Below are 16,718 nucleotides of genomic sequence, written 5' to 3'. Positions count from 1 at the left end.
TCCTGATACCAAAGCCGGGCAGAGACACAACCAAAAAAGAGAGTTTTAGACCAATATCCCTGATGAACATTGATGCAAAAATCCTCAATAAAATACTGGCAAACCGAATCCCGCAGCACATCAAAAAGCTTATCCACCATGATCAAGTGGGCTTCATCCCTGGGATGCAAGGCTGTTTCAATATATGCAAATCAGTAAATGTAGTCCAGCATATAAACAGAATCAAAGACAAAAACCACATGATTATCTCAAAAGATGCAGAAAAGGCCTTTGACAAAATTCAACAATGCTTCATGCTAAAAACTCTCAATAAATTAGGTATTGATGGGACATATCTCAAAATAATGAGAGCTACCTATGACAAACCCACAGCCAATATCATACTGAATGGGCAAAAACTGGAAGCATTCCCTTTGAAAAGTGGCACAAGACAGGGATGCCCTCTCTCACCACTCCTATTCAACATAGTGTTGGAAGTTCTGGCCAGGGCAATTAGGCAGGAGAAGAAAATAAAGGGTATTCAATTAGGAAAAGAGGAAGTCAAATTGTCCCTGTTTGCAGATGACATGATTGTATATCTAGAAAACCCCATCATCTCAGCCGAAAATCTCCTTAAGCTGATAAGCAACTTCAGCAAAGTCTCAGGATAAAAAGTCAATGTACAAAATTCACAAGCATTCTTACACACCAATAACAGACAAACAGAGAGCCAAATCATGAGTGAACTCCCATTCACAATTGCTTCAAAGAGAATAAAATACCTAGGAATCCAACTTACAAGGGACATGAAGGACCTCTTCAAGGAGAACAACAAACCACTGCTCAATGAAATAAAAGAGGATACAAACAAATGGAAGAACACTCCATGCTCATGGGTAGGAAGAATCAATATCATGAAAATGGCCATACTGCCCAAGGTAATTTACAGATTCAATGCCATCCCCATCAAGCTACCAATGTTTTTCTTCACAGAATTGGAAAAAACTACTTTAAAGTTCATATGGAACCAAAAAAGAGCCCGCATCACCAAGTCAATCCTAAGCCAAAAGAACAAAGCTGGAGGCATCACACTACCTGACTTCAAACTATACTACAAGGCTACAGTAACCAAAACAGCATGGTACTGGTACCAAAACAGAGATATAGATCAATGGAACAGAACAGAGCCCTCAGAAATAATGCCGCATATCTACAACTATCTGATCTTTGACAAACCTGAGAAAAACAAGCAATGGGGAAAGGATTCCCTATTTAATAAATGGTGCTGGGAAAACTGGCTGGCCATATGTAGAAAGCTGAAACTGGATCCCTTCCTTACACCTTATGCAGGTACCTTCTTCACAAGGCAGCAGGAGAGAGAGTTTGTGAAAGAGGAACTGTCAAACACTTGCAAAACCATCACATCTCATAAGATCTCACTCACTAGCAGAGAATGGCATGGTTAAATCACCCTCATGATCCAAGAGTCTCCCTCCCCTCAATACGTGGGGATTACAATTCAAGATGAGATTTGGATAGGGACACAGAGCCAAACTGTATCAGTATGTCATATACAAAATTGGATAAAGAATTCAAAGTCAGTAACTGTGGGAAAAATGTAAAGTATCAAAGAATGCACTGATATTAATATAGTTTGAATTTAAATTTTGCTGCACTATATATTTTGTTTTAATTATGTTTAGATGACTTAGTAGACAGGTGTATCAGGAGTCATAATCATTAGCCTATGGGAAAAATCTGACTCATTGCCTGTATTTATAAATAAGATTTTATTTTAACATAGTCATGCTCACTCATTTATGAAGTTCCCCTGCAGCTTTTGTGCTACAATGGTAGAATTGGACAGCTTCAACAGAGACCATGTAGCCTATAAAGCCTATAATATTTCCTATCTGTCTTTTTAGAGAAAAGTTTTCTTGGCCTCTGAGCCATATCATTTACAGGTAATACTAAAATATCAGCATGATATATAATAAAATATAAGATAAAAAATACGAATGACGCTAATGTTTAGCAATTGGGGAATTTCAAATAATATGGTAAATCTGAACAATGAAAATTGACATAGTTGTTAAAATAATGTTTCCCAGAAACTGTTTATGTTATATATCTAAAAATCTAAGTGAAAAAAAAGGATACAAAACTATACCAGTCATTTTCAGTGGAGAGGTGGTAGAGAACTGCTTTAAGGCAAAAAGTTATATTAGGGGAAACATAGCCAATGCATAATTTTAAAGTCTTTTGTACTGTTCATACAGTAACATAGTTGTAAAACTTATAAATAAAAACCAAAATAATTACAAAAAGCAAATCACTAGCATAATGGGAAAATTTAACATGTTTCTGTCTGTAACCATTAAATTAACAGAATAAAATTATGCAACAGATTTCAGCAACAAAATTAGCAAGTGTAATACAGTAGACATACACAGAACCATGGATCCAACAATCAGAAAGCACAACTTTTTTCCTAAGCAAAAATGTTACACTTATAAAAATTGATCATATAATATGCAATAAATGAATTTCATTAAATTAATAATTGTAAGAATAGCTAAAATAGTAGTAAAATTTACTGGGCACTTCCTATATCCAGCCTATTTTCTAAAAGTTTACATTCAAGACCCTCACACTAATCTTATGTTGTAGATCCTAAAATTGTCATTTTCTTTACATTATACAATTGAGGTAGAAAGCTTAAGAAACTAACCCAAGATTAATTCTGACAGGCAATCAAGTAGCGTATCTGACATTTGGACCTAATTTGACTCTAGACTTTATGCTGTTTACCACCTATCACCTAAATAGTTATATCAGCACTGTTAATACAATTATAATGGTTGTTAAAAATCTAAATAGAGGAATTCAGCTTCTGGGAGGAAAAAGGAGATATACGTTTCCTTTTTTCTCGGGCTAAGTACAGCTAAAGATCCTGGACATTACACATCAAATAAACAAAACACTCTTAAAGGTAGAGAAAAGAGGGCAAGTCAGCTAGAGACTTTGGGACCCAAGTCAAGACAAAGTGGTGAGTTCTTCATGTTTTAGTTTTACTTCATATATCCAAGATTTGGTGCTGAAGAAGCAGACTTGGAACATCAGAAAAAGCAAAAAAACACTGTAAGCAAAAATATTGGTCAACACAATAGACTATCATTTTCCTCTTGGGCTTTCTAAATTGATTATTGAAGCAAAAATTTTAATAAAACTATAATGTGTGGTTCTAAATATATAGAAGAAATATATAATACAATTATATTATTGAACAGAATAAAGAGATGTAGAGGGAAGTAAGATTTCTACACTTCACTCAGTCTGATAAAATGAGGACACTAGTAGTCTGTGATTATGTATAACTTATCTATATGTATCTCTATGTCTATCTACCAATACCTACAATAACCACTAAAAAAACCTATGCGAAGATACACACCCCAAAACACTATAAATGAATCAGAATGGAATCTAATAAAATGTATAAACAATCCGCAGGAAGACAGGAAAAAGAAAACAGAAAACAACAACAACATAAACCCAAATAAAAATAGCCAACAATGCATTCATTAGAAAAGGAAAAATGTTTCAAACCAATGAACTGAATTTTCACCTCAAGACTCGAGAAAAACAAGAGCAAAATGAACCCCAAACAGATGGAAAAGAATAAAATGAAGAGCAGGAATCAATGACATTGAAAATAGAAAAACAACAGGGAATATCAATGAAATAAAAAAGTCTTGCTATTTAAAAAGATTGATAAAACTGACAAAACTCTTGGAAGAAGAGTGAAAAAGAAAGAAGACACAAAATGCCAATATCAGAAAAGAAATAGGGAGTATCACTACAGATACTGAAGACATTAAAAGTTTAATAAGAGAGTACCAAAAACAACTCTACATACATAAATTTGACAATTTAGATAAAATGACTAATTCTTCAAAAATCATAAGCTACCACAATTCATTCAATTTGAAATAGATAATTTGAATAGCATTGTAAATACTAAGGAAATAGAATTTGTTATTAAAATACTCTCTTGAAAGAAATCTCCAAGCCCAGATTGGAGTTCTCCAGAGTAAAGAATTCTTCTAAATTTTAAAGAATCAGTAACAACCACGTACAATTTCTTCCAGAAAACAGAGGAGGAAGAAACAATTCCCAATTCATTTCAGGAAGCTAGAATTACCCTGACATCAAACCAAACATAGTACATTAGAAGAAATATAGGCCAATATATCTCGAAAGTTATACAAGTAAAAATTCTCAAGAAGTACTAGCAAATGGGATTTAGCAATATCTAAAAATGATAACCTTGACCAAGAGGAGTTTACTGAGAGGATGCAAAACTGGTTTAATGTTAAAAAATTAATCAATGTAATCCATGTTAAGAAACTAAAAGAAGAAAACTACCGTAACCGTATCAACACATGCAGAAAAACCATTTGACCAAAGCCAACATCCATTCATGATAAAAACTCTCAGGAAGTTAGAACTAGAGGGGAACTTCAACTTGATAAAGAGCATCTACGAAAAACCTTCAGCTAACATTGTATTTAATAGTGAAAGACTCTTTCCTCCAAAGGTAGACAATCAAGCAAGGATGTTCCCTCCCGTTACTATTATTCAACATAGTGGTAGAATTTCTGTGCATTAAGGCAAGAAAAGCAAATAAAAGTCGCACAGATTAGAAAGGAAGATATAAAATAGTTCCTATTTTCAGATGACATAATTAAAATCATGTAGAAAATCCCAAGGAATCTAGAAAATCACTAGACAAACAATTCATAAAAACAAAAACAAAACAACAACAAAAACCTGAGTTCATCAAGTTCAGCAAAGGATGTAAGATAGCATACAAAAATCAATTATATTTTCACTACTTGCAATGAACATGTGAACACCAAAATTTATAATATAATACCACTTACAATTGCTCAAAAAATGAAATAGGTATAAAACTAAAACTAACAAAATATATTTAGGATTGTATGCTGAAAACTACACAACACTGATGAAAATTTAAGTAAAGATATAAATAAATGGAGAGCTATACCATGTTTATGGATTGGAAGACTCCACACCGTAATGATGTCAATTCTCCCCAAATTGATATTTATGTTTAATGCAATTCTTATAAAAATCCCAGCAAGATTTTTTGTGTAAATATAGACGAGATTATTCTAAAATTATTATGCAAAGGCAAATGAATTAGCTAAAGCAATTTTGAAAAATAGAATAAAGTGGGAGTATTTCAATGCTTACATAGCTATAGCAAACAAGATTGTGTGGTATTGGTGAAGGAAGAAACACATGAATCAATGCAATGGAACAGAGAATCCAAAACTAGACCTATACAAATATGCTCAACTTATTTTTGACAAAAGTGCAAAAGCTATTCAATGAAGAAAAGATACTTTTTTCAAAAAATGGTGCCATAGCAATTTGCAATGCAATCCTGACACTACCCAAATTCAGGTCAAATCAAAGAGATAGTGTCACAGTCCTCCACAAAACTCCCCTCACTTCAGATATCAGCAACAAAATCCAGGGCTCCTAGGCTACCTGCAATTCTGACCAAATGGCTGCAAATCCATTCAGGGGTGCCCATTAACTCCTCAGGTTTGGTAATTTGCTAGAACAAATCACAGAACTCAGGCAAGTGCAATATTTTTATTAGAGTTTTATTCTAAAGGATATAAATCAGGACAAGTCAAATAAAGAGACAAATAGGGCAAGGTTTAGGAGAGTCCCATATGTGAAGCTTCAGTGCCCTTGGGATGTCACTCCTCCTGGCACATGGATGTGTATCACCAACCACGGTGCTCATGGAGCTTTGGGTGTCTAGAGTTTTTCCTCAATAATTGATTGATGAATCAATTGATTCATGATTGATTGAATCATTGACCACATGATTGAAGTCAATCTCCAGTCCCCCTCCTTCCTTGGAGTTTGAAAGGACAGACTAGTATCACATCGCTCAAAGCCTCAATTCCCTAATTGCAGATTGGTATTTCCAGCATGATCAGTTTTCATTCTGAAACTATCTAGGAGCCCACGAGTCACCTTACTAGCATAAACTATTAGGGCCCACCATGAATAACAGACTCTTATCATTCTGAAAATTCTGAATGTTTAGAGAGCACCTTTCAGAAACCAGGGACAAAGCTAGCCAAATTCCTTATTATACAATACAATATATATTAGAAATACATAGGTAAAAAAATGAACTGCAACATAAGTCTCACTTGCTTATACAAACATTAATTCAAAATAGATTACAGACAAATGTAAATTGTAGCACTATACAATTTTGAGGAAAAAAATGTGAGAAAAATATTTGAGATATATGGCTAGGCTGTGAGTTCTTAGACTTGACACCAAAAGCACCAATCATTAAAGAAAAAACTGATAAATTTGGCTTCATTAAATAAAAATGTTTACTCTGCAAAAGAACCTGTTAAAAGAACAGAATGACAAGTTACAGGTGGACAAGAATATTTTAAAACTACATGCATATTCTGCAAAGGACTTATATCTAGAATAAAGAACTTTAAAAAGTTAATGGTAAAGAAATCCAATTAGAAAAATGGGCAAATTCTATGAAGAAACATTTAACCAAGAGAACATTCAGATTGCAAATAAGCATATGAATATATGTTCAGCATTATTATCTATAAGAAAAATGCAAATTAAAACCAGAATGAGATATCACTACATATCCATCAGAATAGATAAAACAAAGAATAGTGACAGTACTAAATATTTGCAGGGATGTGTAGAAACTGGGTAACTTCTATATTGCTGATTAAAATATAAAATGATATAGTTACTCTGGAAAACAATTTGGCAATTCCTTAAAAAAAATCTGAAATATACAACTAACATATTGACCCAATAATTGCACTCCTGAGCTTTAATCCCAGATTAATGAAACTTTGTATTCACACAACAATCTGTAAATGAATGTTTATAGTAGTTTTGTTCATAATAGCCCCAAACTGGAAACAACCCAGATATCCTTCAACAGTTAAACCAGTGTACGTCCATATCATGGGATACTACTCAGCAATAGAAAGGAACATATGATGGGGCCGGAGGTGGTGGCTCATGCCTGTAATCCCAGCACTTTGGGAGGCCGAGGCAGGCGGATCACCAGGTCAGGAGATCGGGACCATCCTGGCTAACACGGTAAAACTCCGTCTCTACTAAAAATACAAAAACAAAATTAGCCAGGCATGGTGGCAGGCTCCTGTAGTCCCAACTACTTGGGAGGCTGAGGCAGGAGAATGGCCTGAACCCGGGAGGCGGAGGTTGCAGTGAGCCAAGATGGCACCACTGCACTCCAGCCTGGGTGACAGAGCGAGACTCCATCTCAAAAAAAAAAAAGAAAGGAAAAGAAAAGAAAGGAACACATCATACTTACAACAACATGGAAAATTTCAAGAGCAGTACATGGAGTGAAAAAGCCAATCCCCTTAATTTATATACTACATGAATCTACTTATATAGCAATCTTGAAATGACAAAATTGTGGAAATGAAAAAAAGGTTAGTGGTTGTCAGGTATTAAGGAGCCTGTGGTATCAGAGTGAAGTGGGTATGGCTATAAAGGAGAAACATGAGGGATCCTTGCCATGATAGAATTGTTTTGTGTCTTGATTGTATCCATGTCAATATCCTGGTTGTGATATTGTACTATAGTTTGCAAGATGTTACCACTGGGGAAACTGAGTACATGGTATCTTTTTGTATTATTTCTTACAAGTACAGATGAATCTACACCTATCACAAAATAAAAAGTTTATATTAACAAATCTAGCTACACACACACACACAAATCTACCCACAAAAACAAGAAAACTAACTTCAAGAACATAAACAAAACCAAATACAAACACAAAAGCTCCTCACATTTTCACTGCTGTGTTGTACCAAATATCAAGAGATAATGCCTATCTTAGACAAACCATCCAAGAATAGAAAAATAAATCCTATCTTAGCCCAGAGCTATGGTTTAAATGTCTGTATTCCCGCAAAATTTATATGTTGAAATCCTTACCCTCAAGGCAATGGTATTAGGAGGTGGGGCCTTTTGAGGAACAATTAGGTCATGAAAGTGGAGCCCTCATAAGTAAGATTAGAGTCTGTATATATATAAAAGGCCTGAGGGAGTTTGCCTCTTTCACCATTTTAAGACACAGGGTGAATATGCCGTCTATGAACCAGGAAACAGGCCCTCACCAGATGTGAAATCTGTTGATGCCTTGATCCTGGCCTCCCCAGTCTCCAGAACTGTGAGAAATAAATTTATGTTGTTTATAAGCCACCCGGTTTATGACATTTTTTCTTAGCAGCCCTAACACACTAAGACAATAAGAGTCTGTCATAACTGTTTAACATATATCATATTTTGGATAATTCTGTTGTTTTCAATTCCTACTCTTGCTTGTTGAGGAATAGCACTGTATTTATATATTTATGCACCTCTCCTGATACTTGCTAAAACAAAGTCCTAGATGTTGAATTTCTGGGTTAAAGATTATGAAAAAATTGGAAAGCCTCTTGTTTCTTATTATAAAGTTACTTTTTATAAAAATTATACTAATTTAAAGTATCATTGAAAATGGTGAATTTCTGCTAATATTATTGCAGAACACTGGAGTTAACTGAAGGAGACCAACAAGGAGATGACATAAGAAATCTTAGGTATTTGGATATTACTTTAATCTCTGGTTGCATTTATTGGTGGTCTGGATTATTTCAAGAAAAAGCAGAAATCGCCTAGGCTCAGAGGTCACCAGTGCAAACTTGTCAGGAGTCAGGCAGTAAGTAACATGTCATATAGGTTTTGGGCAGTATAAATGTATCTAGCACCTCAGAAGGGAATAAGGCAAAGTTGGGAATGGAAATTTACTGAAATGAGACCACTTTTTCTCAATTCTGTTTAGAATTTTTTTCAATCACAGAGCTTCCAGGAAATCTCAGATAACCCAGTCCAACCACTTCACACTAAAGAGAAGGAAACTGAGAACCAGGAAATTTCAAGGATTATCTAAATTCACAGTTAGGTAATGATACAGCTAAAACTGTAACCCAGGCTGGCTGACTCATAGCTCTAAGAACTCTTTACCAGATCATGCTTTGGTTTGGTTTTGGCTCTGAGTCGTGAAAATATACAGTCAACCACAAACCAAGAGCATAAAAAGATTTAGATAAATTCTAAATGAAATCAAGTTGTCTACTCCAGTTAATTATTTGCAGTAGAAATTTATTTAATTTTCTTTAAAATGTATTTACATGAGTTTATTCTCTTGGCCTAGTAATACTGGGAATGGTTGAAGATGGAAATGACCATGATAGTGGAAGTGACCACATTGGTGAGTCAAAGCCAATGAGTAATTATACAGTTTAAAATAAAGGCAACATATACAGTTGACCTTTGTATTAGTCAGGGCTCTCTACTGGGAAGAATTAATAGGACACATATAAAGGGCAGTTTATTAAGGAGTATTAACTCACACAATCACAAGATGAGGTCCCACAATAGGCTATCTGCAAGCTGAAAAGAAAGGAAGCCATTCCAAGTCCCAAAGCTGAAGAACTTAAAGTACGATGTTGAAGGGCAGGAAGCATCCAGCTCGGGAGAAAGATGTAGGCTCAGAGGCTAAGCCAGTCTGATCTCTCCACATTCTTCTGCCTGCTTTTTATTCTGGCTGCGCAGGCAGCTGATTAGATTGTGCCCTTGCAGATTGAGGGTGGGTCTCCCTTTCCCGGTCCACTGACTCAAATGTTAATCTCCTCTGACAATACCCTCACAGATAAACCCAGCACCAATAATTTGCATCCTTCAGTCCAATCAAGTTGACACTCAATATTAAGCATCATAACCTTGAACAACTGGAGGGTTAAGGGCTCTGATCCTCCATGCAGTCAAGAAACAGCATATAGCTCTTGACTCTCCCAAAACTTAACTACTAATAGATTACTATTGACCAGAAGACTTACCGATAACGTTAACCAATTAACATTTATTTTGTGTGTTATATGTATTATGTACTGTGTTCTTTTTTTCTTTTTTTCTTTTTTTGAGACAGTCTCAAATAAGGTGCCATGAGTGCAGTGGCACGATCACGGCTCACTGCAGCCTGGACCTGCCGGGCTAAAGTGATCCTCCCACCTCAGGCTCCCAAGTAGCTGGGACTATAAACGCACACCACAGTGCCCAGCTAATTTTTATTTTTTTGTAGAGACATGGTTTCACTATGTTGCCCAGGCTGGTCTCAAACTTCTGGGCCTAAGAGATTCACCTGCTAGGCCTCCAAAAGTGCTGGAATTACAGGCAGTAATCATTGTGCCTGGCCTATACTGTGTTCTTATAATAAAGTAAACCAGAGAAAAGAAAATATTATTAAGAAAATCACAAAAAAGAGAAAATATATTTACTACTCATTAAGTGAAAGTGGACCATAAATAAACATCATTTTCATGTAGAGTTGGCTGAGGAAGTAGAGGAAGAGAAGGTTTTGATCTTGCTGTGTCAGGGTGGAAGAGGTGCAGGAGGCAGAAGTGGGGGAAGGAGAGGCAGGCACACTTGGTATAACTTCTATTGTAAAAAGTTCACATATAAGTGGACCCATGCAGTTCAAACCCATGTCGTTCCAGGGCCAACTATACTTCTTCCATCAGACACATGGATTATTACACAAGATTGTCTTCGAGGGCATCATTCCTTTGTGCAATACTAACTTCAATCTAGAGGTAGTTGATGTCTAAAGAAGCTAATATGTGTGTGTGTGCATATGTGCATATAATTTTTTTCTTCTTGGAGACAGGAATATATTAAAAATAAATACCTGAAAAAGATACAAGTAGAACCTAACAGTGAAATAGAGAACGTTTTGGCAAAGTCTTAGCAACTATCGCTTTATCCTGTGGAAAAAGCTCAAGGGTGTTGCAGAGACCTCCAAACTAGTAGGTCAAAGGAACCAACAAGGGAAATGTTAAATTGCTTTGCTCTCACCTGCCCTAAATTACTATTCACCATACCCCACAAGAGATAACAGCTATTAATAATATTTTTCCATTATTTTCAAAATAGCTTAAATACATATTTGGCTATGTTTGTCAAGCTAAATAAGCTATTTTTTGATGTGTACAGGGCATAAACACTTAAAAGACACTTAGAAAATGCTTTAACTCTTTCAGTAAAATTTAATGATCATACAACATACTATTTGTTTCAGATTATAAAATGTTCTATTGATGATATCTGAATGGAAACAAATTAATAATTTAGGATATAGCTTAGTTTTTGACTGTAGCATTTAGCCTTTTAGTTTTTAAATAATGGAAAGACATTAACATTAAAAACTCTCATCTATCTTGTAGCTGCATATCAAGTTTACTTAGGCAAACATATAGCTACAAATTCAGTAAGCTAACTGACAGATAGACTAAACATCAAATGTTAATTAGGGTTGCTAAAATCTTGGAAAATAAAAAATAATCCTTCAGGCAATATAGATAATTTATGTGGATATAACTAAGGGATGAATCTCTATTTTTTTATTGTAATAAGCTAGGAAAAAAGCTATTTTGCCCCTGATAATAACCAATGACAGACACTTTGAGGATAGCAGGCTTAGTATCAGGTAGTGGGAAGATAAACTTCAATAAGAAAGATACACTGTTGAAACTAATCCATGGTGAGAGTCAGGCCTAGAGGAAAAATTCTAGATAGTAATGTAAACCGTAAGAGCATTTAAAAATATTTGGAGGCAAGCATGAGAGCTGTAGGACTGAGTAGGAAAGGGTAAATGATAAAATTTTCAAATATGGAAGATGATAGATTTTTAGATATCATGAGCAGATGCAGTTGCATACACTATTCCTGAATTAATTTTAAAAAAAATCAAAGAAGCTGATCAATAGTATTAAATCACAAAATACAGAGATTGTTTCTGCTAATTAAATTATTTGAGCATTTCTTTTTTTTTTTTTAGGGGCATGCAAATTAACAATGAAATCACCATTTAAAAGGAGAAGAAAAGACCAAACTATCAACTGAATCTCTGAAAAATAAAAAATATGACCAGGGGTTGCAAGAATAGTCATTTATCATGTCAGCTCAATTCTAGTAGTTATATCCATGAAATAGAATATTAAGGTCACCATTTGACATAGAAGAAATTGGAAACCACCAGTGAGTGCAAATGTTCAAGAGGTCATTGCACATTAGATTTAAAGGTCTTTAATAACCGTGTGCAGATCACACGTAGAAGGTGATGTAATAACATCTCCCATGAGGTTACCTTAATAGAGAGAGTCGACCCCAAGTTGAGAAGCAAAACTTTGCAGTGATATTTCAGAAACTGTAATGCCAGTTTATCTGCATGAGATCCACTGTGTTACTAGCTACAGTTTTTTTTTTTTCAGCCCTTTTTGCTGCTGATTTGTGTTAAAGGTTTGTAAGTGGATGTGGGTTCCTTCTGGATTGGCTAATCTCTTGTATGTTGTAGAGTCTAACTGCACAGGTTTCCAAAATGGTGTTATTTTTGAAATGGATATATGTTCTGAATAGGTTGTTTGGAGAAAGCCTATTTCTATCATGCAATTGGTTTAGATTGGAAACACAACATGCATAAATTTTGTAATAACAATATGGATATAAAGTTGACCCTTGCACAACACGGGTCTGAACTGCAGAGATCCATTTATACACAATTTCTTTTTGAACCAAATACAGATTGAAAGTACAGTATTCCTGGAATGTGAAATCCATATTTACGGAGGGCTGATTTTTTGTATATATGGGTTCTGTGGGCGACTATGAGGCTTGTGCATACCTGGAGTTTGGCATATGTGGGGGGTACTAGAACAAATCACTTGCATATACCCAGGGAGGACTGTATATACTGAGATTTTAGAGTCTCCATGGTTTCAGTGAGCTTTCACTTTAAAAGTTTCAGATAAATCTTATACATTTTTAAAGCTGGTAATTCACAACGCAGGGAGTTTTAATTCAACCCTTTTCAACAAATGAATGAGTAGTTATAGGACCAAGGCTTTGAGTAGGAACTTCAGGGATACAAACAAGAATGAGAAAAAATTGTTTCTTTCATGATGCTCACCATCTTGAGGCAGCGAGATGACATAATGTGGAAATACTTACATACAGGGTAAAATTATGATATTTGGCTTCCTAGTACTATTTATGTGTTTTTTTATTTCCTGGTGACTTTTTGGTCTTCATTAAATGCTTTGATAAAAATAACAAAATGAAACATTTAAGCAAACATAAGTATTCATGTCTCTGACCAGGGGATATTAATAGAAAATTCAAAATAATGAATAATTGAAGAACTATATATATATTTGGCTCTAGAATTGTCTTTGTTCTTACTTATAAATAGTACTCTCATACCTGTCTCAGGTATACATGAAACTGCAAACAAAATAATAAATATTGTTCAAAGCTTGTTTATTATTTTAAATGGTAATACAGTTTATATGTTAATTTAAACATTTTTCAGGTTATTATACAATGAGCAAACAAACTGATTTAGAAAGGTCTTAATTTTTAAAGTTTTATTTTGTTTTTAATTGATAAATAATAATTGTATATATTTATAGGGTACAATATGATGTTTCCATACATGTATACATTGTGGAATGCATCAAGCTAATTAGCATATTCATCACCTCAAATATAATTTCTTTGTGGTGAGATCATTTAAAATCCTCCCTGTTAGCTATTTTGAAATATACAGTACATCATTTCATATTAACTGTTGTCACTGTGCTGCGCAATGGAACACCAGAACTTACTCCTCTTACCTAACTGAAACTTTATACCTCTTAACTCATATCTCCCTTTTCTCCAGCCACACCAACTCCAACCTTTGGTAGCCACCATTCTACTTAACCTCTATGAATTTTACTTTTTAGATTCCACATGGGTTCATACTGTATTTGTCTCTCTGTGCCTGGCTTACTTTACTTATAATGGCTTCTAGATTTATCCATGTTGTCACAAATGAACAAAATTTTAGTTTCTTAAAGACTGAATAGCATTCTATATACTATTAGTATTATAGTATACTATCCTATAATAGCATAGTATATTGTGTTAGTATTTCATATGGATATATATGTATACACATACCACATTTTAAAAATCCATTCTTCTGTGTTGGACACTAAGGTGGTTTCCATATCTTGGCTACTGTGAATAATGCTGCAATGAACATGAGAGTGCAGTCATGTCTTTGACATACTTATTTCAGTTCCTTTGGCTATATACCCTGTAGTAAGATTATTGGATCATACGGTAATTCTATTTTTAGTTTTCTGAGGAACCTCCATACTGTTTTCCACAATGGCTGTATTAATTTAAAATATCAGTACTGGGAATAAGGATTATTTTTCTTTTGCATCCTCTCCAGCACTTGTTATTTTTCATCTTTTAATAGTAGCCATACTAACAGATGTCAAGTGATAGCTCATTGTAACTTAATTTGCATTTTTCTAATGATTAGAGATGTTGAGTATTTTTCTCATGTATCTGTTGGCCATTCATATGTCTTTTTATGAGAAATGTTTACTCAAGTCTATATTAGTCTGTTCTCATGCTGCTAATAAAGACATACCCAAGACAGGGTAATTTATAAAGAAAAAGAAGTTTAATGGACTCATGGCTCCATGTGGCTGGGGAGGCCTCACAATCATGACAGACGGCAAAGAAAGAGAAAAGTCATGTCTTACATGGCAGCAGCCAAGAGAGAAGTGAGAACCAAGCAAAAAAGGTGTCCCCTCATAAAACCATCAGATCTCGTGAGACTTATTCACTACCATGAGAACAGTATGAGGGAAACTGCCCCCATGATTCAATTGTCTCCCACTGGATCCCTCCAACAACACGTGGGAATTATGGGAGCTACAATTCATGATTAGATTTGGATGGGGAAACCGCCAAACTATAACAAAGTTATTTGCCCATTTTTAGATAGGGTTATTTGTTTTCTTGTTATAGAGTAGTTTAAGTTCCTTGTACATTTTGCTTATTAGTCCCTTTACTGATGTATGATTTGAAAATATTTTCTCCCAATCTGTGGGTTGTCTTTTGACTTTATCAATTGTTTTCTTTGCTGTGGAAAAACTTTTTAGTTTAATGAAATACCATTTACCTATTTTTACTTTCATTGCCAGTGCTTTTTGGGGTCATATCCAAACATCATTGCAGTCCAATGTCATGGAGCATTTCCCTTCTGTTTTGCTCTACTGGTTTTATAGTTTTTAGGCCTTGTGTTTAGGTCTATAATCCATTTTTGTGTTGATTCTTGGATAAGGCTGAGATAAGGGTCTATTTTCATTCTTCTGTATATGGATATTCAGCTTTTTCAGCACCATTTGTTGAAGAGATTGTCCTTTCCCCATTGTGTGCTTGTGGCACCAGAAAGATCTTAATTTTTAATTATTAGTCTAAATGATATGTGCCTACTTTAAGAAGAGGAATATCCTAATTTTAAAAACTTCATATAACAGGCTAATTACCAGAAAATTTTTCTCAGTCTTTATTTATTGCAAAAGTAATCTTATAAGTAAGCATGGATTCTATAATGATTGACTTGAGAATTTTGAGCTGGACGAGCAGTTGAAGACTTCTTTGAGGGAAATGATAGAGATCAAGCAAAATAAAGAAGTAATAAAAATCAAGATCCCAATAAAATAAAGAAATAGTAAAAATAAAGGTAAATTAAAATAACGTATTATATTATTTTTGTGAGACAGTGTTCAAATTTTAATCATATCATTCAATTAGAGAAGTGGTCAAACATAAAAATGAAATTCGCTGAAGAAAAATACCAAACAATCAAAAGAAACAAAGTATATCGTAGGAATAAGGATGAAAGTTACATAGTAATGTATTGAGATCTAGACAATACTTGTCAATTATATTCGATCACTAGTCTATAATTTAAGCCTCTCAGATTAAAAGAGAAAACAAAAAAGGAGCAAAGTTATTTAAATGAAGCTTTCTGTTTAATACTTCTAAATTGTTTGAGTTTCATTCATTTATTCATTCATATACTGTGCCAGATAATGATACTACAGAAATGGGTAAGACCAATATGGCATTTCTATTTGTGGAGCTTAAAGTCACAGATACACAGTGCATATATGAGTAATAAAATAAATGCTTATGTAGTTAAAAATACTGATGAGTGATAGAAAGGTAACAAACAAGATGTTTTGATGCAGAATAAGAGGTGGTTACATACTTTAAATGGGGTGGTAAGGGAACGCCTCTCTGAGGAGGTAATGTTTAAGTTAATAAATGACAAAAAGGAGCTAGAAATTTGAAAGTCTGTAAAAAGAGCATATTCCAGGTTAGAGAAGTACAAGGGCTAAATCCCCAAGACAGAAACTAGATTGGTTCCTGGAAGTAGGGACAGTTGCTGTAGCAGAAGATGTATTAATAAGAGAGAATAGGGAAGGTAGGTTTTTACATACGAAGAAATGTACAGAGAAAGACATATGAACCTACATATCAATAAGTGATTATTAAAATAGATAAAACAGACCCTAAAAGTCTGAGTCCTTTCTGCTTAGTCCAGATCTAATTTCTCCTAGATGGACAACATATTCCTCTTCTATGCCAATAAAGGGGTTGGGATAAATTAAGCATCCCAAAAATGTATTGGTATGTTTGTTTTTTGTACG

Source organism: Homo sapiens, chromosome 7, assembly GCF_000001405.40.
Source record: "Homo sapiens chromosome 7, GRCh38.p14 Primary Assembly".
NCBI lineage: Eukaryota > Metazoa > Chordata > Mammalia > Primates > Hominidae > Homo > Homo sapiens.
This window is presented reverse-complemented; position numbering follows the sequence as displayed.